The sequence below is a fragment of the Homo sapiens genome, chromosome 13 (assembly GCF_000001405.40).
Source record: "Homo sapiens chromosome 13, GRCh38.p14 Primary Assembly".
Classification (NCBI taxonomy): Eukaryota; Metazoa; Chordata; class Mammalia; order Primates; family Hominidae; genus Homo; species Homo sapiens.
This window is the reverse complement of record NC_000013.11, coordinates 59,747,368-59,772,975: the sequence shown is the minus strand read 5'-3', so window position 1 is coordinate 59,772,975 and position 25,608 is coordinate 59,747,368. Positions and strand designations below refer to the sequence as shown.

Below are 25,608 nucleotides of genomic sequence, written 5' to 3'. Positions count from 1 at the left end.
TTATCCATGAATAAATAGAAACCCAGAGAGGCTGAAAACTTCCAGAGTACAGAGCTGGTTAGTGACACAGCTGTGACAAGAATATGGTTCCAATTCCTATTGTATTTCTTTTTTGATTTCGTATATGTACTTCAGTTATTTTTTATTATTAATAGTAACAGCATAATGAACTCAGCCCCCACTTTAAGTCATTAAAAAAGAGCCACAGCCAAACACAATGATTGTGATATGATTAATGATATGCATATACCATCCTACAGTTAATTTAAAATATATATTTTTAGATACTATGTGGGGGAAAATTAGTTCAGATAACTTTGTACACTGGTCTTGGAGAACTCAGCCTTGTGACTATAATATTAGTAAAGTGTCTGGGATATAATGGCTCAGATACAATTACGTATAAATCATAATGTTTCTGTTTATTATATATATAGCAGATGAGCATTGCATTTTTATAAAGCTAATGTGTACTGGCTTAAGTTCTAAGGCTGTTATGATAATTAAGCTAGTAGATTATACAGCAAGCCGAACAAGATATATCACAAAGTTCAAATTCTCTGTTCTAATATAAATGTGATGAATTCCTACATTTTTAGAAAGTATTTTCTATTCATATTTCTGTTGTGTTTTCCCTTCATATTTCTAACCAAGTAGAAAGAAATCCAAATGACCAAATTTATCTTAAGAATTGTGTGTATGTAGATTTATTGGACTAGATGTTCAAAAATGCAGGATTTGGTTAAGGAAAATGTCTTCATTGCAAAAAGGGTAGTGATTATTTTTAGTATAGGATGACATTTTGGAGTTCATTGGAAATCTTTCTATTTCTAAAAACTACTTTTTTTCATTGAAAATACTAACCCTACGACTGAACTATGTGATTGAAATGTAAGATTGAACTTATTTTTTAATTTGCTTTTATATACTTAAAATTGATGTCTAATATTTATATTTTCTACAAGTATATATTGTTATTGATCTCATAACTTATTTTTAAAGATTTAAAAGATTTTCTACAGCTATGTGAAATTCATTTATAGCCTATGTAAAATAATGATAATATTAATAATAATAAGCTAATGTTTACTGAGATATTTGGCTTACTAAATGCCAAGCACTATGATGAATATTTTATGCATATTACCCATTTAACCTTCTCAAATATTTCTATCAGAGAGTCAATATTTTTATCTCCATTTCATAGTCGAAACTAGTCAAGTATTAAAGAGGTCTGATAACTTGTTTAAGGGCACGTAGTCAAATTTTGAATGCATGCCTATCCGACTTCAGAGTCCAAGTTGTTACTTTCTTTGCCATGCCATACTCTTAATATAACTGCTTGAATCCATGTCTAATTCCTTTCCCATCCATGAGCTGGTGACTTATATGCATACATTTTTTTAGCTTGTAACATAAAGTTAAACAATTGAGACACAGCCTCTCAGAGGTTCTCCAGCCTCTGGTGTGCCTCATCTCTTCTTCCCAAATTTAGCCACTAGATAGCACTGTTTTCCTAGTCTGAGGTTTGGATTATGAAAATAATCTGGAATTAATTATGACCACTTTTTATTTATTTTAATAAACTCAGTATTAAAACATTTTTGTTAATTTTAATAAACCTATGCTGTGTTAGAAATATTATAGAAAGCTTGGGTAAAAAATATATATCCAAAGCCTAAATTTGAGTTTATTAGCTGCAATTTTAATTTTTTATTGTCTGTATATCTTTTGCTGTCTGTGTGTTGTCTGTGCCTTCTTAAATCATAGCTATAGTCTCAGACTTCTTAGGTTTCTTTTTATATATAGAGAGAGCATCTTTTCTCTCAGAATAGAAAAAAATTCTGGTAAAGTATCCTCCTGGACGTTGGGGCTAAAATGTCCCTATATGTATTTTAGCAAACTGACCTCAAGCATTCTAACTTCAGTGGACTTCAGAAGCAGACATCTCATGCACTGAATTATCCAGCCTTTGTGCTGTGGTCCAAACCTCTACCAAAAACACTTTGGTTACAAGTTGTACCTGTTATCTTTTGCTTTGGCTGTAAAGGCACAGGCAGAAATGAAGTATGTGCTAAATCTTTATTTATTCAGCAAAATTTATTAAGCTGTTGCTAGGCACTTAAGATTTATAGATATCTTCCAAGAATGCACCATCTAGTTGAAAGACAGACTAGTAATAATTGCCCTACTTTTGGTAAATGCCAGGTTAGAGGCAACAAAAAATTTTGGCAAGACCAGGAAGTCAGAAAGACTGATCCAGACTTCATGAGGACAGTTTAGAGCTGGCTTCCAGAAAGGATCTGAAATGCAAGCTGAGACTTGAAAGATGAGTAGAAATGAGGCCAAAACCCAAGGGCAAGAGTGAGCCTAGCAGCAGCAGCAGTAGTAGCATGTATGCAATTTTTCAGGAGGTCCTTTCTGAACCCCAGTCTGAACCTTGTAGAACTGTACATTCTAGTAACACCCTAGTCTTCCCATTTTATAATACACACTGCCCTGAAGATGTTTTTATTCAGTGTCTGTCACAGTACTCATGAGTTTCATCAGAGTGGAGACAAGGCATAAAGGAGCATATCTGTCTTGTTGACTGCTGTAACCCCAATACTTAGTTGGATTGGTATCAGGCATGTAAGTGTTTATAAGAATGTGTTGAATGAACAGACATGTTTATGTTTATACTTGAATGGAACTGTTAATACATATTAAGGAGTAAAATCAAATCTCTTAATGTCACCCAAATAATTTGATATGCCAGTTGCTAAAGTTCCAGCTGTGAACACAGTTAACCGCTTCCCATCTCCTCCCTTGAAGTTATCTATCATCAAAAGGAGATATTTGATTGTTTGGTCTATGCATAGCTTCAAAGAGTTGTCGGATCAGATGTAGGGGAGGGGAGATTCAATTTCGATTTGGTTACTCACTTCTTAGAAGTGGAGGGCTACTTATTAAATATCTTTCCCTTAGTCAAGCAAAGTGTGGCAACATTAAAACAAAAGAATGTATTTGTTGATGAGTACAGGGCATTATCTATTTTCTTTATTCAACACAGTCCAAACCTAAAGATTTTCTGTAGTCTACAGAAAATAGTAAAATCTCCTCTTTTAAATCAAGATAATTAAAATATTTATTAATGCATTTTAATAAATATCATAGTATGGTGTTTGAGTGTTAAGAAATCAGCTGGCCCAGTTTAAGGTACCAGATGGGGAAGAAGTATATTGCGGGTCTGACACCAGGCCAAGGAATTTGGATTGTTGAGGTTTTTGAGCATGAAAATGACAGGTCCCCATAGTTAGTATGGAACTAAAGTGTAAGTGAGAGGGAGGGATTGAAAGGACTTCATGGCAACCTATATGCCAGTATGAATCGGCTGCTATGGATGGGGAAAAGTCAAAGAGGGGAAGAAAAAAAAAAGTCAAAAAGGAAAGAGGCCCAGCCTAGAGCTCTAGGTTAAGACACCCCCACAGAGAATTGCTAATAATTCATAAGCAAGTGAGTTATCTAAAGGAGAATCTTTAAAACAAGAGAATGGCAAGTTAAGGACTGAACCTTAGGAATGGAGTCAGGTGAGTAATGAAGTGAAGGAGAAGCAGAAAAGAGATCAAGAAGTTGGGAGGAATTACACAGTAGTGGAGCCTATACAACGAAGGTTGAAAGAAGACTTTGGTTTTCTCATTTCTTTTTCTTTTCTTGATTGTTTTCTTTGTAACCTCTGGTATACCACTGAGTGACTGGTGTTTTTCAGGATACATTAATTCCTACTCTCCTAGGGACTTCTCTTCCACTGTACACTCTGTGAACTGTCTGTAAAACTTTTGTGATAAAGGCTCCACAGATATGAATTGTTGAACCACACCTTATGCTGCATCTGCCTGCAGTTTGTTTGCATCCTTATTAGGTGGTTCTCTTTTCATAAGTGGTACAGTGGGATTTTTTTTCCAGTTAAATGGATAGAGAGTAATCAGAAAGAATTCTATAAACTATATGCAATTAAAACCCCTAAAGATAAAACTATTTAACTGTGACAAAATAAGATAAAACATAATCAAAATTTTAGGCAAACAAGTATTATGCATTTTTAGAGAGCATCCATAACCTAAACAAAATCTTGCTATATTATCTTTACACTAAATCAATTCTTAATAGCCTTAATTTGGATTTGATTATCTATTTTTACTCTTCCACTTATATATGGCACTTTGAGAGATTTTTATAGAAATAAGATTGTATTGCCTCCAGGCACAGCTGCTCTGCCACTCTGATTTGAAGTCAGAGTTAAATGTGAAGCTGGTTAGATATCTTTGAATTAGCATATTTTTCTAAGGGAGGCACACAAGATGGGCTTTGTTGTTGATATATCAAAACTTCATATATAGCCACCCCTCCCCCATCCCCAATCCACTCGATCTTGGGACACCTTGTTTCTTGACCTGCCTTTTCTCAAACAGCAAGAGTTTGTCTTTAGGCAGAATTAGGAAATTTCTAAGGTTTCCATTGGTGTCTACTGAGCACTAACTGCCTTAAGTCTTCTTTGGAAACAATGAAGACAACTCTATTGAAGTAGTAAATGTTGACAACTACCATTTTCATTTATTTTAACTGTATCTTATTTTAAAGTAGAAAGAGCATAAGGAACAATATATTAAAATAACTTGATTTTCTAAATGTCATTGGCCTATTTTTTGAGAGTATTTTTTGTTCTTTTCCTGATGAACTCATGCCTGACAAATAACCTAAGAAAGGGAGCTATTAAAATACTAATGGTTTTTGACACCCTTACACTTGGGCTTTCAAGCAGAATCAAATGCTACCTGTAGCTGTCAAAAGACTTAAATATTTTTTAAGGAGATTTTTTTAGGCTAGGAATGTAAAATAATTTGGATGATTTCACAGTTTATTCAAACATCAGTCTCTTATATTTACCATGTAGTCAAGCAAAAGGCAGAATGGACTCAGCAGGGCTCCTGCCTAGGTAAGGATGCCCTGTGGGTAGACAGGAAAGGCTTTTCTTATCTAATTTATAGTCAGGGCAGGACAACCTTTTGGCATAGTCATTATCAAACAGACTCTTAAGCATGAACAGGTTAGAAAAGTCTCAAGTAGTGAAGACTTCAAGTTGTTTTAAAAGGACATTTATGCAAGAAATAGCAAATGTCTTTCATTTAATGAGCATTCACAAATGTATGCTGAAGGCTGGAATAAATTTAGTGAGAAGGAGATAAAGAACTGTATTGTATAAGGAAAGTAATGTCCTTGACTTCCCTGAAATGGTTGTTATGATTAATATCTCTTGTTCTGCTTGTGTTCCATAGTGGACTATAATTATTATGATCTTTTTAAATCGTTTGCCCATTCTGAATCTCTCCCTTTTCTTATGGCAAAAGTTCAGAGTCTAAGTTTATAAGGAATCAATGGACAGACTTTAGAAGCTCCTTGAACTCTGTACTTTTGTTTTAAATTTTGTGTTTGGACTTAAAAAAAAAAACTGGTAAAAGGATATGTTGGTTTCCTCAAATTTCTCCCAAAATAAAAATCCCTTTTAAAAGAGGATTAAAGAATTACTTATTTTGTCGTTTGATTACTGATTTGTTACACATTGTCTCTGTTTCTATGTGTTGTGTAATTTTGCATTACTTAAAAGGGAAGCCATTTCTATGATATTAATAATTGTTTGCCATTTGAGAACTAAACTTTCATGGGCATGTCAAATTCTTGGTGAATCTACAGTTTTAGAGACAAATAAATTGTTTAACCTAAACAGTTACAATCCAACGAGGTGGTGCTACTGTGGAGGTTCACTGAGCATACAGAGGAAATGACGTCATGTGTACCTGGGATAGTCTTTGGTCTTACTGGATCTCTCAAGCTGGAAGGAGTGCAGGGCTCATCTGGGTCATACAACTTGGAAGGAGCAAGAAAGAGAAAGAGAAGCCAGAGGAGGAGCGTTCTCCCCTAGGAGCCACCAGTGACAAAGAAGTTGGGAAAGAATAGTCACCAAAGCCACATGTTCAGAAAGGCCAGGTACAAAAAGGATGGATAAGCACCCGAGCACAGATTGGACTGAAGGACTCGGGTATCACTGCTTACCTTGAGAAACGCAGTATTGGTAGAAACTGAAGCCAGGTAGCCTTGGCTGGAGGAGGAGTGGAGCTTTTTTTCTTTCTTTCTTTCTTTTTTTTTTTTTGAAAGCCTAGATATGAAGAAAAGAAAAAGTAGGAAAATAGCTGAACCAAATGGTTTGTGATTTAATGAGCATATTATGTTTCTTTGCCATTCATATGACAAAGGCTTTACTGTCTTTGTATTCTGAAAGGAAGTATTAATAGTTCTGGAGGTGTGGGGCTAAGACTTAGGGGAGCAGTAGCTTAGGTTAGGTTCCCGGGGAATGGGATATGAAAGCATAGGTGCAGAGCACCTGGACAGTTACAAAGGAAGGATGTTTGAACAGAAGTGGATGCAGACAGTAATTGAGGGAAAATTCTGAGCTCCCATCTGATAACACCTGTTTTCTCTGAGAATTAGGAGATAAGATCTCTTCCTTAAAGTCATAGTCTCTGGCTGGGGGAAGGAGGCAAGGTCATTGGGGCTGACAGATCTCTAGGGAATGTCAGAAGAAAGTGATCAGGGAGACACAAAATAATTTTTACATTAATGGCCCAGTTGCAGAGGGAGATGATTACTTATGTAGTGATAGTATAGTGTGTGAAATCCATGGTAAGAAAAGTAGCCAAGGTGCCTCCCGGGCCCTGTGAAAAAGGGCAAATGATCCCCAGCAGCCTAAAGGTTCTAAAAAGTAATCACCACGTGTGACCACAATGCTCAGGCAGTAGGCAGACTGGGTGTGCTATAGAGCACCAGCCAAGCAGAGTCATCAAATTTTCTGATAGGATAAGATATTTTGTGTTTTGAAAACTGTAGTAGTTACAGGAAAATAATGAAAACTCTTTTGGAACATAACAATGTGTGGTTCACCAGTGTTTCTGCTGTTGTATTCCATCTGTAGTAGGCATTATGGCAGGGATGGGGGACCCTACTGCAGCTGAGTTTCTTCCAGGCATGTGCCAACTGCATTATGTGTCTGAAATCTTTTCTAAGAAAACAACACTTGGTATTTATTTATAAGATACCATTGGATTTATATTTTACTTTATTTGCCCTCCTTAAAGGTCAGTTCCAAGTAGCCACAGATATGGAAACCACCTGTCAGTATTAAAAATAAATAATTTGCAAAATACCTTACACATAGTAGGTATTTAAAAAAAAATAGCAGTAGTTGTTTTTATTCAGTGACTATTTGTGAAAGCATAAAACTAGCCAGATTTTCAAATACTCTTTCTACAAGTGAATGGTCTGGCAGAGCAGTTTGACCTTGAAAAACAGTTCGGAGTCAGGTTTGGGCTTTGAGGTCAAACAGGTCTGGTTTAAATTCTTTACTTACTATCAGGGTGACTGTGGTTATTTGTCTTTAAGTTTTCTTTTCCTCAGCTATAAGAAGAGGAATTACACTATGTGTTTCATAGGCTGTTAGGAAGACTAAATGAAAGTGTATGAAGGTGCCCAGATTTGTGATGTAGTGCCTAGAATTGAGTAGCTACTCAATAAATTCAAAATACGCTGGCACTTTCTCATTCCTTCCCCTTCTTCACTTTCCTTCCATGATACATTTGCCAATAGAAAGTTATTGCAAATCCTTCAACAAGAATGGCACATAGAATGGATTTAGTAATTGGAGACATGGAAATTAATTTTCTTGCTATGAATAGTTCTTGGACTGTACTTAAAATACCGGAAGTAATATAAACTAGTTTAGCAGAAAAAAGTTGAAAATTAAGACTATGGAGAATTTTGTTTTTAAAATAGAATAATAAAGATGTTTTTACCTCCTTTTGTCCCTGGGAGTCAATCACCACAGAGCCACCAAGAGAAAGAGTTACAAAAACAATTCCCAGCACCTGTGACATCAAGATATCTTTAATCTGGAACAACAATATGTAGACATGGGAAGGATGGAGAAAACGATGATGTGAGTGGAAAGCTGGAATCCAGATGTATTATTTTCCTAGGGCTACCATAGCAAATTATCACAAATTGGAAGGCTGAAAACAACAAAAATTTATTCTCTCACAATTCTGGAGGCTAGAAGTCTGAAATAAGATGTTGGCAATGCTGGTTCCTTCTGGCAGCTCTGTGGGAGAATCTATTCCATGCCTCTCTCCTAGCTCTAGTCATTGCTGGTGGTCCTTGGTGTTCCTTGGTTTGTAGCTGCATCACTCCAGTGTATGTCTCCATCATCACATGGTGTTCTCCCCATGTGTCCTTTAACTTGTCACATGGCTGCCTTATAGGGACATCAGTCATTGGATGAGGACTCAACCTAATCTAGTATGACCCTGAGTTTACCTGATAACATCTGCAAAGATCCTATTTCCAAATACGGTTGACATTCACAGGTACTAGGGGTAAGGGCTTTAACATATCTTTTTTGAGGGGACACAGTTCAATCCACAACACCACAGGGCCCCAGTGGCAAATGGACTGATCCATCCCTCCCAGGACTCTGAGGGCTCAGGAATTATTGGTGCCAGGAACCGCTGACAGAACTAGTGAGCCATAGAGCTGAAAATGGGACTGGAAAAGGAGCAGTTCAGCCACCATCTAGACAGTCTGACTCCGAAGTCCAGAATTTTAACCATTATGCTATACTGCCTCACCTCACTTCCCTTTCTCCCACCCTTCCAGGAGATCAGAGATTTATTGTTAGGAACAATTGCGCTCAAGAATCTAGAATGGGAATATGAAGCAGGAGCAAGGTGTTCTACTGCAAACAGGGATTATGTAAACACAGAAGATGACCTAAGGAGAAAAAAGTGGAAATGAATTGAAAAAGCCTCTTCTAACTCCCTTTTGCCACTTAGTTCTTAGCATACAGAAGCAAAGTTTATGCTCCAAGCAGATGACAGAATACATCTCTGGATATAATGAACAGTCTAGAGAACAGGCTTTCTGGTACTACTCTGCTCCTCCCCACAGTACTAGCTCGGAGCAAGAGAATTACACAGAGAAACCCATTAGTTAACCAACTTACTTATTCACACAAAATGTTTACTCTTAAATATTGATTTGGGCCACAGATTCATTAGCTAACATTTGAGGAAAACATTTAATATGGAGAAAAAAGGAAAAACAAAGGACCTCTTAATAAAAAGAGAAAATATGAAGAACAAAAGAAAAATTTCAAGCAAAACACCACAATTATAATTTCAGGGATATCAAAGACAATTTTTTTTTTGTGACAGGGTTTCTCTCTGTTGCCTAGGCGGAAGTGCAGTGGTATGATCATAACTCACTGCAGCCTTGATCTCCCAGACTCAAGCCATCCATCCACGTCAGCCTTGCGAGTAGCTGGGACTACAGGCACGTACCACCATGCCTAGCTAATTTTTTTATTTTTTATTTTTTGTGAAGACAGAGTCTCACTGTGTTGGCCAGCTTGGTCTTAAACTCCTGAGTTCAAATGATTCTCCCGCCTGAGCCTCCCAAAGTGCTGGGATTCAGGTATGAGCCACCATGCACAGCCTAAAAGACTATTTCAATGATGAAAGGAACAGGATACATGCATACACATATGTGTGTGTGTACACACATATATGTATATACATATATACACATGTATATACATATATGTGAATATATGTATATATGTGTACATATGTATATACACTTATATGTGTATATATATACACACATGTATACACATATATAAAGATATATGTATGAAAAAGAATTAGGAAACAAGGATCCCTTGGATATGGAAAACAAGGTAGCAGAAAAAAATAGTACAATATTTGAAAAAGCATAAAGATAGAGGGTTCTTGGAGATTGTTTTGTCTATTTTTTGCTGTTTTAACAGATTACACAGACTGGGTAACTTATGAACAGAAGTTTATTGGCTCACAACTCTGGAGGCTGGGAAGTTCAAGATTGAGGCTCTGGCATCTAGTGAGGGCCTTCTTACTGCATCTTCCCATGGTGATGGGCTAAGGGAGACAAAACAGGGCTGGACTCATCATCCTTTGTAAGGAAACTATTCTCACAATAATGGCATCAACCCATTAACTAAGACAGACGCCTCAAGGCCTAATTACCTTGTAAAGTTCTCATGTCACAATACTATTATGATGGCAATTAAATTTCCACATGAGTTTGGGAGGGGACAGCCATTCAAACCATAGCAGGGAAGATCAGGGGAAAATGTGAATCTTACAATTAATCTGAATGATCATTTGTACAATTGTATTAAAAGGCTTCCGGGACGATTTTAGACCACCATAATGATAGACACTAAAAAAAAAAGAGGCAATAGGCAATTATTAATTTTAGAAAAAAAGACAAGTGATATATGATTATGGTACACTACTTGGCATAGTCCTAGATACTATTTTACTTTGCCATAATAATAGAAACATTGTAACCAGACTTTAAAATGGTGCCCAATGATCTCTGCCTCTTTTTCACACCTTTATATAATCCACTCCCACCTCAAACATTGTTCCAATTAAATATGGCAGAAATGTATCTCACTAACAAGCTTAGATTATAAAAGATGCTGAAGCAGCCGGGCGCGGTGGCTCACGCCTGTAATCCCAGCACTTTGGGAGGCTGAGGCGGGCAGATCACAATGTCAGGAGATCGAGACCATCCTGGCCAACATGGTGAAACCCCGTCTCTACTAAAATACAAAAAATTAGCTGGGTGTGGTGGTGCACACCTGTAGTCCCAGCTACTCGTCCGGAGGCTGAGGCAGGGGAATCGCTTGAACTCAGGAGGAAGAGGTTGCAGTGAGTTGAGATCGCGCCACTGCACTTCAGCCTGGCAACAGAGCAAGACTGTCTAAAAAAAAAAAAAAAAAAAAAAAAAAAAGATGCTGACGCTTTCATCTTGGGTGCTCTGTTCTCTCTCCCTCTTCTTTGGCTATGGGGGACACTATGTTTTGAGCAGCCCTTTGGAGAAACCCAAGTTGTAAGGAACTGGAGCTTCCATCTAGCAGCTGTCTGAGCTTCTAAGTTTATCTGTATTAAGATATAACCAGAAGCCGAAATCTCTTCTTTCATTTAGTTATCTATCTCCTTTTCTCCTAAAATACACTGGTTGTACTTTTATTTTGCATTATTTCTCTTTACTTTCTGTCTTCCAATGCTATATATAAACCTAAAGAGGAATTTTCTCTGTTCTACCTCTCAGCTTATCATTTTTATGTGATCCAGAAACTAAAATGCTCTTCAGTGTACACTCCTAAGGAGTGATAGGGATGATAGGAGTCAATAATGGTAGTGTCACTAGCTCAGGATAATAAATGTGCTTTTGCATATAAAATGAACACCCTTCCAACCTTTTCTTTTGTGTTGTATAGATAATATTGACCAGTGATTTTGCAGCACATTTCTGAATTATTTTCTTCCCTTGTCATTCTTAATGTGCGAAAAAAAATGATAGAAATGAGCAATAGAGAAAAATCAAGTACCACTCTACATTTTTTTTTTACTTTTTAGAGCAAAGGTACCCTTCTGGTAGTGTGTAAAACTCTGGTAGATAATGTGTATCCACTGACTCCTTAGTAAGCAAGAGGGTAGGATGAAATTCGCATTTTGAAACACTGATGTTAGTTATAATCGTTGACTTTTTTTATAAAGAAGTGACTTTTCGTGTATTACACTGATCTCATGAAAGCCAGGGATGTAGTTAGCATAGCTGGAACTGTGGTTTGGAGGGGAAATGATGGTTAGACAGTTTGTTATTTCGTCTAGGTAAAGAGATAAATACTAAATATTTTTATGCTTTTAAAGGGTTTATAAATTTTTTGAAGCAAGAATTGACATGCATTAAGAATGCTATAATGTCTCATTGATTCCCAAGTAAATTAGAAATTATTAGTGTTAGCCATGATGTACTTTATTGTGATGTGACAGCATTTGGCTTAAACAGTTTTACCATTTATTAGCACTAATATTAGAATAAATGATAATGATCATTAAGTGCTATGTACATGATCATTTAAGTAATCATGCTTGCAATCTCCTTCTATTAGTCAAACCTCTTTGGGTTAATTAGTCACAGGAGCTGTCTTATTACAATTTCTAGAAGAATAATGAAACAAAGGAACACTGAAATATACCAAAGAAAACAATAGCGCATCACTCATTTACCTCATATATTACTGTATGTACCCTCACCTAGTTTGTATTGCCACCTTAAGGTTAAAAAAGTCTGACAACATTTTTTCTTTTGAGATAAGATAATTAGGCCTATTATATTTGCATACCTTCCTCCATTAAAGCATGTATGCAGCAGAACAATGCTAATATGATATGCAAATAACAACGAAGTCCACATTTACCAACATATTCACATGGAAAGATGAACTAGTAAATACCGTTAGGGTTTAGGATTTTAAAATGTTAAAACATCTTGTTGTATTTTAGCTCTGACAAGCCAGTAACTCAAAATCTGTGTAACTTCAAGGCTACAAATATAAGAGACAACTAAGAAACTTTTATTATCAGTTCTTTTATTACTCACATCTTATTAATATAGTTACTCTGAAGAGTTGTTAAGTTGATATTTGATAAACCATGAACAGAGTTTTATTAAATCCAAAGTGCTATTTTATCACTGGATGGAAAGCATATTTCATAACTTTTTCTTAGTTTTCCCCATGTACGAAAGGAGGAGAAAATATAAAGAAAAAGATCTTTTAAAATTCTTTGTTATCTGTTATCAGGCAGCTTCTCAAATGAGAGTGATGATGTATGCTCTATTTTTTAATATGCCAGAAGAAAAAAGTGAAGGGCATAGTGCATTAAGGAAAATCTCTGACAGTCTTATTAGGGCAGAGAAAAGTCCTGCCTGAGACAGCGCCTAGGACCTGTTTCTACACTTGCAGCCTTTGACAATAGCAGCCTCTCTAATAAGTCTCAAGGCTTTCATCACTTTTTGTTTGTTTGTTTGTTTGTTTGTTTGTTTGTTTTGAGATGGAGTCTCACACTGTCTCCCAGACTGGAGTGCAGTGGGCGCGATCTCGGCTCACTGCAACCTCCGCCTCCCAGGTTCAAGCAATTCTCCTTGCCTCAGCCTCCCCAGTAGTTGGGATTACAGGCACACACCACCACACCTGGCTAATGTTTTTGTATTTTTAGTAGAGATGGGGTGTCACCATGTTGGCCAGGCTGGTCTCGAACTCCTGACCTCATGATCCACCCACCTCTGCCTCCCAAAGCCACTGTGCCCAGCCACTTTCATCACTTTTTAAACACTGGTGTCTCTGTTTGCTGCTCACTTACTGGAAGCTGAACACCGCCTATTACTCTTCATTCTGTTAACCTACTTTCTCTTCATTTACTGATCCCCGTTCCCTTTCCTTGCCTAAATATAAGCAGTCTTGATCTGCTGAGGATGAGAAAGAAATGTATTTAGTGATGGGATGAAGTAATACAAGTCAGTAACTCTAGGTACTATGTTGTAGAAATGTGATATTTCCTAGAAATTAACTCTGTGTCTTCTGCATATTGTTTTAATAACCAGAAAAGGGGTTCTGAGAATAATTTTTTAAGTTATTTGTGATTAGTTTTCATATCCTGCTGATACCACTCTCCTTGTGGTAGTTTCTGTGCCCCCGGGCCCATCCTTATGTATTTTTCAAAGTTTGCTTTTTTGTGTTGTAGGCCCATATGGTTCATCACATGCTCTTCTAAACAGATCTCCAGTTCTATCTATAACCTCTTTGTATTTTTGCACTAAGGTCTTCTTTAATCATGTGAAAAAGGTATTTTTCTTTCAAAAAATGCCAAGCACTATTTCAAAATCAGAAATAAAAGACTATCACTGGTCTGGATGTGGTGTCTCATGCCTGTAACCCCAGCACTTTGGGAGGCTGAGGCAGGAGGATAGCTTGAGCCCAGGAGTTCGAGACCAGCCTGGGCAATATAGTGAGATGCTGTTTCTACAAAAAAAAAAAAAAAAAAATTCAAAATTAGCCAGTTCTGGTGGTGTGCGCCCATGGTCCCACCTACTCAGGAGGCTGAGATAGGAAGATCACTCAAGCCCAACAGGTTAAGGCTGCAGTAAGCCATGATCCCACCATTGCACTACAGCCTAAGGGACAGAGCAAGACCCTGTCTCTTAAAAAAAAAAAAAAAAGAGAGAGAAAATTCTTGCCTCTGTGAAGCCCCCTCTTCACTAAATTGCTTGGCATTGTGTATTGCATTGATTTAGGACGTTTTGTTTTATTTTATTTAAACTTCCCATATACTCCCTAGCTTCTTCCTTCATTTTAAATGTAAACTTTATATGATAGAATCACATACATATGGAAAAGTAAACCATCCTAAGTATATGGCTTGATGAATGTTGATTAAATGAGCTTGCCTGTATAACCAGATCAAGAAACAGAATTTAATTAGAAACACAGTAGCCCCGTGGCCAGTCATTACCTCACATTCCACACATGTCCTGACTCTGAGCATAAACTAGCTTTACCTTGTTCTTTCCAAAAATAGGATTGTACACTTTGTATCCATGTTGTTGTATGAAGCTGTAATTCATTTATTCTTACTATTGTTTAGTATTCCACTATAAGGGCATATCACACATTTTTTTCCTGTTATCAGTGGATATTTATGTTGTATCTAGATTTGAACCATTACAAATAACATGGCTAAGAATGTTTTTATTATGTATGTCTTTTGCTTCTATCAGACATACACCTAGGAGTGTAATTGCTGTTTTGTTGGATATGCATATATTCAGCTTTAGTAAATACTGTCCAGCAGTTTTCCAAAATAGTTGTACCAGTTTATACTTCCAAAAGCCAGGTATTAGAGTTTTAGTAATTCAAGTAGGGTATCTCAGTGTAGTTTTGATTTGCATTTCTTCTATGGATAATATGAGTACCTTTTCATAGGCTTATTTGCTTTTGTGGGTATCCTATTATGTGAAGTGCTTATTCAAGTCTGTCCTGTGTGTTATTTCTCTATTAGGATCAATTTACTGTTTGTGATGATTTTTCAATGCTGCCATTGAGTAGGTTTTATTTGCCCATTTTTCCATTAGCTCACCATCATTTTTCATATTGAGAATGAATAGATTTTGATGCAATTTTATCACAACACATGTCAAACTGCCACTTGTGTTATGAATATTGTCCTTGTAGCATGTACTCTTTTAACAGTGTTTCAGTGGCTGCATGACATGGCTGTGTAGTAAAGATGACCCATAATAGGCCGGGCGCGGTGGCTCACGCCTGTAATCCCAGCACTTTGGGAGGCCGAGGTGGGCGGATCACGAGGTCAGGAGATCGAGACCAACCTAGCTAACACGGTGAAACCCCATCTCTACTAAAAATACAAAAAATTAGCCGGGCGTGGTGGCGGGCGCCTGTAGTCCCAGCTACTCGGGAGGCTGAGGCAGGAGAATGGCGTGAACCTGGGAGGCGGAGCTTGCAGTGAGCCGAGATTGCGCCATTGCACTCCAGCCTGGGTGACAGAGCAAGACTCCATCTCAAAAAAAAAAAAAAAAAAAAAAAAAAGGATGACCCATAATAACTAGCTTTCCTAGGTAGGGTTTGGCTTTTATGTTTTTCAATTTTTTTTTACCATTATATATAGCACTGTTTCTTCAGGATAATGCAACAGATATGAACAATTTTGAATCTTTTTATACATATTGCCTCACTGGTCTGGGTGGAGTGAAGAGATTATACTAAATTATACTCCTACCAGCAGCCTATGGACATGTCCGTTCATCTAATTCTCAATAACACTGGATGTGTCTCAGAATTTTTACTATCGACAAAATGGTGTCTTATTGTTTTGCATTTTTCTTTAGCTGTGAAATTGCATATATTTTCATCCTTTATTTGTAACTGATAAAATTAAGGGGGCAAAGGAACCAGAAACGGAGTAGGAGGGAGAACCTTCTCAGTATTTCTTAGCAAACTATGTCATCCTTAAGGAAAAATCAGAAACTTCAATATTATTATTTCCTCTTTCTTTTTTCTCTATTAGGATAAATTATTATTACTGTTTGTGATGATTTTTCAATGCTGCCATTGAGTAGGTTTTATTTGTATGTTTTTATCATTACTGATAATAAATACTATTAACTCTGATGTACTGGAGTAATGGGTTGGAAATAGGTGAATGAAAATCAGAGACAGACCTAAATCCCAGTGGCAAGAAATAGCTGGAACCTCAGATGGGTTCACACCTCCTTCCCCAAGGTTTTTGGGTAATGAGGTAGCAGCTTAATGGATCTGTAAAACTAACTGTGACTAACCTTAGTCTACATGATGCCATCCAATGAATTAAGTTCTCTTCCAGGCTATTTTAACAGCAACTTTAGCAGATTTCCCTCCCTCTCTCCCTTCCTCCCTCCCTCCCTCCCTCCCTCCCTGCCTGCCTGACTACCTGCCTGCCTGCCTGCCTTCCTTCCCTCCTTCCTTCCTTCCTTCTTTCCTTCCTTCCTTCCTTCCTTCTTTCCTTCCTTCCTTCCTTCCTTCCTTCCTTCCTTTTTACTAAATTTACCACATGTATCTATTTAAGAAAAGGTATTTCAATAGTGAAGGTATTAGTAGATTATAACTTTTTTAAAGTTTATGTTTATATACCCTACTTATTTCTAGGAAGAATTTGAAATGGCTTACAAAAGGAGACACATAATAATTATGTAATTATAAGAGAAAACAGATGCTATAAGAAAAGAAAGTTGGCTTCTTAGCTTATAGCCTTGGTTCTCAAATTTCAGCATGCACCAGAATTACCTGTGGTCTTGTCAAAATACAGGTTTCTGGGCTCAACCCAGAGTTACTAATTCAGTAGGTTTATGGTAGGCATGAGAATTTGCATTTCTCAATTCCCAAGTGCTACTCATACAAGAACCACACTTTGAGAACCACAAGATCTGGATCACCTTTATCTGTTTTGAGTATTTGGAATCATCATTGATTAATATCATATTTTTTATTAGTCTTTGTGAGCCATATATTTCAGTGTCTGATCATAATAATAGCTATTATTTTTATAAGGCTCATTATATGGCTGTACAGGATATGATTAATTCTATGTCATATCCTGTATATTATCCTCTATATTCATATGTATTCTGAACCTTGGCCACATTAGAAATACCTAGAGAGTTTTTCTAATGGCTCCAATATGGAGCCTTAGCTCCACACATTCTGATTTAATTGGTCTAAGATGGGGTCTGGGCACTGTATTTTTTTGAAACTCTCTTTGTGATTTCAGTGTGCAAAACAAAATTGTAAGCCACTGATAGGTAAAGATAAAAAATAGCCCCTTTTGCCAACAAGTAACAGATTGTTTCATCTGTGGCTTTTTTTCCATCCATGTGCCTAGCCACTCATTCTCTTTTTTTAATCAGTGTGGTATGTTTTTGGTTCTTGAGTATACCATTTTGTTCTTCTCTTAATTGAACTTCATCCTGTTTTTGATGAACCGTTTCTCTAATCTATCAAGGTCATTTTAAATTCTATTTCTTCTAAAGCATTTAACCCCTGCCCAACTAAGTATCATCTGCAAGTTTAATGAGCAGATTTTCAATTTCCTAATTGAGACTGTGCTCATTAAGTTTTAATATTTTATAATTTTATTGCAAATTATTTCCACCATGTGGGTGATTCTACCTTGACCTTGCCCTGGCTGTGCACATTTTCTTCATTATCAATGAACATTTATTTAGTGCTTAGAAGTTGTGTGGTATTGAAACAAGTTCTGTGACTTCTAAATAATTGAAAATAAGTACTGAATCTGACACCATGTAGTTTGAACTCTAAGGAGAATATGTATATAACATAAGCTGTATGAGCAATACAGAACATATAAGCATTTAAACAGAAAAACTAAACATTGAACGTATAGTTCATAGGTCTGTAATGATCTTTACTATACCTGTATAGAAAAGAAGTTAATGATGTAGGTTGCCACTTTACTAGCTGTGTAACCTTTAGCAAGTCACTTCCTTCTTGTGCCTCAGGTTTTTTGGTCAGTAAAATGGGACCATAATCATTCCAGCCTTGGTTCTTTGTGAGGCTTAAAATCCAGTAATGCATGAAAACTTATCAGTACAACCTAGCACATAGCAAGAGTTCAAGTAAATTAAGAGTCAAATGAGAAATTGATAGTAGGAAGTATTTTAGGTTTGGTTTGACAAGACTGATAATAATCCAAGTGACAAAAGGATGATTAGTCTCAGATCTACCTTCTTCAGTGACTAATTAAGCTAATGTGGAACCTTCCATTTTTACAAACTAGAGCTTATTTTTCTGTAAGTAAACAGTTTCGATTTTCATTCTCAATTTGCTATATTTGTAATTGGAAAGGGTGCTTTTGCAGATCATTATAGCTATTAAGTGGCAGAGTCAGGATACAAACTCAGAACTTCTGTCTACAAGTTGGTTACTGCTAAATGGTAGAGCGGAGGGAATAGATTGCCCCAGACATAAGAGGTGAGAGGAGTGGGAGTCTATTTTAGAAAGATAAGATGCCAAAAAGAATAAAGTAGCTAGTATTTGACCACTTACTACGTGTCAGACGCTGTTGAGTGTATTATTTGCATTGTCTCAAACTGAGGCTTAGAAAAGTTAAGTAACTTGCCCAAAATCGTAAAGCTGATAAATGACAGAGGCAAGAATTAAACCCAGATCTGTGACAGCAAATTCCATTTTCTAAGTCACTTCAGTAAATTGCCTTTCTTTGAATGGAATCAGGAGATTACTTTTTCTGGAACAGAAGATGCCCTCAAAAATATCAGAAGTAGAGAGCAGAAAGATAAGTTGGATACAGGAGTTGTGTTTACTCCCTGGCTGTTTTGTGACAGATTAGATGGGAACAATCAGCTGAGGGATTTCTCTTCAGTTTAGCATGTATTTAAATTGGTTGAATAGCTAAAAAGTGAAGGTGTCCCAGTAGGAGGAGGCTGGAGATGGCCTAGATGAGGGTTTTAGAAGGGGTGGGTTAGAAGGGTATGGAATTTATATACTTTATCTTCTTTTGTTCTTTGATTTACTTAAAATAAGTAAATGTCAAGGGTGATCTCTTTGAGCCCATAAAAGCTAACGCTGTTTTTGTGAAACACACATTTTTATAGCACTTTACAGTTTTCAGAGTGCTTTCAGGTACCATATTTTGTTTGATCTTAATATATTGCTGGCACTTTTACAATTCTGCTTCTATTATCCTAAAACATCCATAAGCATAAGAAATATATTTATAACAAATTGGATGGAAGGCACAACTATTCTGGAGTTTCTTTGTATATACCTGTTTCAATGTGTTTATTTCACTGTAAGTGACAAGTATAATTATGATCAAAAATTAAAATATAGATATTACTCAGAAAATACCAGCCATTAGGCAGTGTCACGAGAGGATATCTGCTTTTCTATCTCAAAAATCTCAATACTGCTACTGCTCAAACATGTTCAAAGCAGTTTTCCCCCATGCAGTACACTTTTGAGTCCCAAAAAACTCAGTATAACAAAAACATATTTTTCAGATTTGTATTACTATATTATTTGGAGTCATGAAAATCTTCCAGCTACATTTTGTCTGAAGTTTAGTGATTTATAAACACTCTTGATCTCATAAATTAGAATTACATAAATATCTGTGATTCATCAGAGTAGAAGCCTCAGATATCGAATTTCTTGAAAAGTTTTCTAATATTTGCCCTTTACTAATAGATTTGACAAAAGTTAGGCTTCATCAAGTTTATCTATTTATAAAAATCATTTTTAACCCTGAAATTATTTCTGCTTTTGTTCTTTAACCCAATTTGTTTGGTATTAGCCTCAGAGCTAAAAATACAGTATGATCTGAGCTATCCAGATAGTATTTAAAAAGCTGGAAAGCAGAATCATTTCTGCCAGAGAGTAAAATATTTGTAATTTTCATTAGTAGCTACTTACCACTAATAAAGAGTTTACTTTTAAAAATAATCTTTTATAAAATGAAAATGGATGTCTACATGTGTTCTTAAGAGAGATAATTTCTGTTCAGACACTTTACATGTATATATTCAGACATTTTATACCAAAACCAGAACTAGCTAATGTGTTTCATTCTCTCTTCATTCCCCACTTACCCACATCCCCAGATAATTATTTAAGAAATTTGAATGATTAAATTAAATATTATTCTTACATGCTAAGAGTTTTTTGTTTAGACCTTTCCCATTATAGAATTTGTACTTACCCTTGTTTTAAAAGAGACTGAAGCTTTAAAATGACTACATTAGCTGGGTGCAGTGGCTCACGTCTGTAATCCCAGCACTTTGGAAGTCCAAGACATGGGGATGCTTGAGCCCAGGAGTTCGAGACCAGCCCTGCACAACATGACGAAACCCCATCTCTAACAAAAATACAAAAATTAACTGGGTGTGCTGGTGTGCACCTGTAGTCCCAGCTACTGGAAAGGCTGAGATGGGAGGATTGCTTGAGCCTAGGAGGTCGAGATTGCAGTGAGCCATGATAGTACCACTGCTCTCCAGCCTAGGTGACAGAGCGAGACTGTGTCTCAAAAAAAAAAAAAAAAAATTGACTACATTATTGCTTATTGTGGTACAATACTAATAATGTAGCTGAAGTAAAGAAAACCCTATAGGGGTCTACTTAGTTTTGAATCCCAGCTTTGCTGTTTATATGCTGGCAGTTACTGAATCTCTTTGCACCTCGGTTTCCTTATTTAAATTATACCTACCTTATAGAGTATTTGTGAAAACTAAATTAAACAAGCCATGCAAAGCACTATGCACTCAATAAAATGTTAACTGTTATTACTGATGATAATATTTAGTTCTATACTAACAAGGATATTGGCTGGGAAAGAGACTGTACTCTGGAAATGTTTCAAGTTTTGAAAATTTTAGACCACTGTCATCTGCCAGGTTATACCTGCTAGCCCCATTGTCCTGTGTTGCCTGTGAATATATCCTGCTTCTTGGCTCATTAAGAAGTGTTACTGGATCAGATCCATAGAATGTTTTACATGACTATGAGTGGCACTGGACCAATTTATGAAGCTTGACTGCAGAGGTATTGAATGGTGGCTGAGGTAACCCATTTTTATGTCATTTGATTAATTTTTCCATTTTACTTGTAGTACTGTTACCACACCAATTTCAAGATGTTTTCAGTTTCCTGCTTTAAAAGTTTACTTCAAAAACAGTATAATAGATATTCTCCTGTTTGATGTAAAATTATTTAGAAGACCTGCAAGATTGTAGCTCCTAATATAAAATGCTTAGATATGGTTACACCTTCTTTCATACAATTACAGACATCCAGAGGTTGATTGAATATCCAGGTGTAATGAAGCAACTTAACTTTTTACAGGTTGTATACATTTATGTCATAGCAGTTGATTGAAGAAAAAATGGATTTGTAAATAACACTCGTAGCAATGAAAGTAAAGGCTGCCTCTTAAGGTGTTTACAAATAGAAAAATCAAGTTAGGAGGATTCTAATTTAATGATTAATTGTTTTGCTGGAATTTTAAAGGAATGGATCCATAATGATATTTGTTTCAGGCTATTAACAGCCAGAACCTTGGCTCCCAGAATTAAGAAATCAGTTCTTGTTAATTAAACTTAAAGATGATGGCAGAGATCTTTGTGCCATGAAGCGAGAGCCTGATCTATGGCTATTTTGTTCCATACTTGGTATAACGCAGTACACTCTTCTCAGCCAAAGCCCTATGTTGTCTGGGCAACTCCCGTTGCCATAGCAATGAAATTCTTTTGCAGGAGCAGGGCGAATGCTAATTGTAGCCATTTGTTGTTCCTTCTGTCGATCCCTTAACTAGCACAGTTGTAGAGCAGCCAGAGACTCTGGGTGAACAGCACGCAGTGCCCCCAAAAGCATTGCTGCTGAAGGCAACCGGCTGCTCTGCTTAAAAAATCATTTGAGCAGCCGACAGTGCTGACAGTGCCACTATGTGGGCAGAAGCACAGCTTGACTCAGACCCTGACAACTGTTGATCTGGGAGAGGGAAAGAGAAGACTGTTTAAAACCTGTTGAGAAGGTACTGATGACATGGAGATTAATTTGACACCAGTCCCTCAGAGGTAGGTGCTAGGCATATCGTAGCAACTGTTTATCCAGGCCTGAACTCAATATTGGAATGCCCAGAGGCTATAGGAGACAGATCAACGGTTATTCCTTTTATTTCCATCTAAAACTGCATTACCGTGGCCTACGGTAAAAATATTCATTTGGTTGGAACCAACCAATTGTAATTCACACAGGTATTAGATTCAGTTTGTACTGGTAACTCCCTCCTCTCCTTATAATCTCTTATTTTTAAAGACTTATGATTTAACTGCCAAAAGTGACTTGAAGCTGAAAATAAACTCAACATAAACGAGAGCAGACCCTTTTGAAAAATAAAAGGCAAAGTGATACCTACCAATTGCATGATCTTTCATGCTAGTTTAATTTGATAAAATGTTCTTAAACCTGGAAAGTAGTAATTCTTGTAAAACCTAATTGCTGTAGGTATTTAGAGATGAAAAAACTTATTATCATGGTAAGAAGAAACATGTGAGGTACTATTTATACTATTATATCCTCCCTTTGAAAGTGTATTGGCCCATAAAAATGGTCAAGTTCATGAGGTTTTTAAAACCAGCTATTGTGTAAACATAGCAATAAATTTCAAGGTAGTTTTTTAGGTATAAATTTAACGTATGTGCCTTCTAATTGAGTAGACTGATAGTGCATCCTGGCTGAAATGTTCTTAAAATTCAGGAGAACTAATATTGTAGGCTTGTTATATCAAGCTATTTCTCACTATTGCTTTATGTTTTTTTGTATTGAGAGAGTCAAAATCAGTAATAACAATGACCCAGTCATTACCACAGATTCCTCTTTTTATTGACCAAGAGGGAAGGAAGGTTTCAACTCAATGTGATTTTGTTTTCCTTGAAAGAACTCCATGTATATTTAATGTTTGTATCACTTGTCCTGCTCTTTCCAGGGAGATAGCTAACAGAGTATCATGAAGGGCCCTGAAATAAATTAGTTTCTGATGATGGTGATCCTAATACATCACTTGTGTGCCTCAAACACTAAACAAATTAGTTTCATTCATTAAAACAGATACCATTCCATAAATTCTAAGGAGAAAAAACTTGAAATTTATTTTTTGAAATTTTCTAAGACCTGTTGTTTTTTCTTTTAAGAAATACCTATGAACTGTATAATACTATTTTTAAAATATTATATACTTCTTATTTGTGAATTTTATATGCAAGGTATCTTGCATATAAAATTGTGAATTATATATCTGAGATATTCTTTCATAAGCCCTATTGGATATAATAAAAGATTATTTTATTAAGTCATCTACTTTAAAATATTTGGCTTTTTTTTTTTTTTTTTTTTTGAGATGGAGTCTCGCTCTGTCACCCAGGCTGGAGTGCAGTGGCACAATCTCGGCTCACTGCAAGCTCCACCTCCCGGGTTCAGGCCATTCTCCTGCCTCAGCCTCCCAAGTAGCTGGGACTACAGGTGCCCACCACCACGCCTGGCTAATTTTTTGTATTTTTAGTAGAGACGGGGTTTCACTGTGTTAGCCAGGATGGTCTCGATCTCCTGACCTCATGATCCACCTGCCTCTGCCTCCCAAAGTGCTGGGATTACAGGCGTGAGCCACTGCACCCGGCCGTACTTTTTTTTTTTTTTTTTTTTTTTTTGAGACAGAGTCTCAGTCACCTAGGCTGGAGTGCAGTGGCACTATCTCAGCTCACTGCAACCTCTGCCTCCCGGGCACAAGCGATTCTCCTGCCTCAGCCTCCCAAGTAGCTGGGACTATAGGTTCATGCCACCACACCTGGCTAACTATCTCACTCTCAGTAGAGACGGGGCTTCACCATGTTGGCCAGGCTGGTCTCGAACTCCTGACCTCAAGTAATCCACACACCTCGGCCTCCTAAAGTGCTGGGATTATAGGCATGAGCCACCGCACCTGACCTGGCTTTACTTTTGAAACACTGTGTGCTCAGCATGATGAAAGAGCTCTAAAATGTCAGAAATACTCTTAATTCCTCAGTCAACAGAGATTGAGATGCTGTCAGATTACCACCAACCGTGGCTTCTGGCCCCCTCTAATATAAAATGCTTAGATATGGTTACACCTTCCTTCATACAATTACAGACATCTAGAGGTTGGTTGAATATCCAGGTGTAAGGAAGCAATTTAAGTTTTTACAGGTTGCATACATTTATATCACAGCAGCTGATTGAAGAAAAATGGATTTGTAAATAACACTTGTAGCAATGAAAGTAAAGGCTGCCTCTTAAGGTGTTTACAAATAGAAAAATCAAGTTAGGAGGATTCTAATTTAATGACTAATTATTTTACTGGAATTTTAAACAAATGGATCAATAATGATATTTTGTTTCAGACTATTAACAACCAGAAACATGGTTGGGTCTCCCATAGGGTTCTGAGCACAGGTGAAGTCTAAAATGTCTTTACAATGAGGCTGCACATCCATTTTTTTCTTGGCAGAGAGTATTTGTGTTTTCACAAAACCTTGCAATGTATTGCATGAGAACTGGTAGGATAGATTTCCGTAATGATCAAGCCACAGCAGCCCTCTAGAGAACTAGAGTAGATATTCCGCCGTCACTCTGCCAAAGTTCTTTTCCCTAATGACCAAAGATCTGAAGGGCCTAAAACTGGAATGTAGGTTGAGGAGTGCTCTAATATCAAGAAGCTTTCTACAAGTACATAATATTCAAACTTAGCAGGAAAGCAGCTCTTTTGGTACCCGGAACTCTACCAACGTTGTTCCAGGGGCAGAATCAGAGCCACTGCTGTCTCTGTTCCATAGTCTTCCAGTGTAAAAACCTGCAACCACTTATCTTATTGCATGATTTGTAGACCTTTGCTTTTAGTGGTGCAGCATGCTCTGGCTAGCTAACCTCATTTGGGCCAAGACATAGCATTCTCAAATAATTTATAGTGGAAGGCATAGAGCCTGCAGGCATTTAGAATCAGTCCACTTGATTGTAGTGGCATTTATAAGAACTATTACCTAGGAAGGAAGAGTTGACTATGCGGAAAAGAAATCTAGGAACCAAAATGGCTCTCCTGTCATTCTTGTGTGGACAGCAGGACAGTCACTTCCTGAAGTGAGAAGAATGCAGTCATAGATGTCATTCAAATTTGACACATTGCCCCCTTGAGGAGAGAGTGCCTCTATAGTAGGATGTAACTGAAGCCCAAGAGGAAATCTTGTCTGGGTGCTCATGAGGTTATATGGCCCTCTCCTTCCAGCTTGATATTTCTCAGGTCCCAGTGGCCAAGGCAGGACCTGATGGCTTGAAAATACACTCCAGTGGGAGAATGGGGCAATGAGTGACCTGAATTTTAAAATTCATTTTTTAACCCTTACTTAAACCACTCATGCCTTGTCCCTCCTTTTAAATAAAGGAACCTTGAAGGAGTTACATCTCATGATGATCCATTCACCTTTCTCCCAGGAAGGCTGATGAGCCATTCTAGCAACATACGGGTGTAAACAGGCTGA

General features: G+C 37.0%; 1 protein-coding gene across 11 annotated transcripts in view, besides 1 other annotated feature; it reads left to right on the top strand.

Moving 5' to 3' along the window:
- DIAPH3 (diaphanous related formin 3) overlaps nucleotides 1-25,608 on the top strand; it is a 498,346-nt gene that overhangs the window by 390,953 nt on the left and 81,785 nt on the right. The window lies entirely within an intron of this gene.
- Nucleotides 21,667-21,961: a silencer, noted in NCBI's record as "tiled region #8361; HepG2 Repressive non-DNase unmatched - State 24:Quies, and K562 Repressive non-DNase unmatched - State 24:Quies". NCBI's record gives its function as "represses a minimal TATA promoter and a strong SV40 promoter by Sharpr-MPRA in HepG2 and K562 cells {active_cell/tissue: HepG2 | K562}" and the evidence as "EXISTENCE:reporter gene assay evidence [ECO:0000049][PMID:27701403]".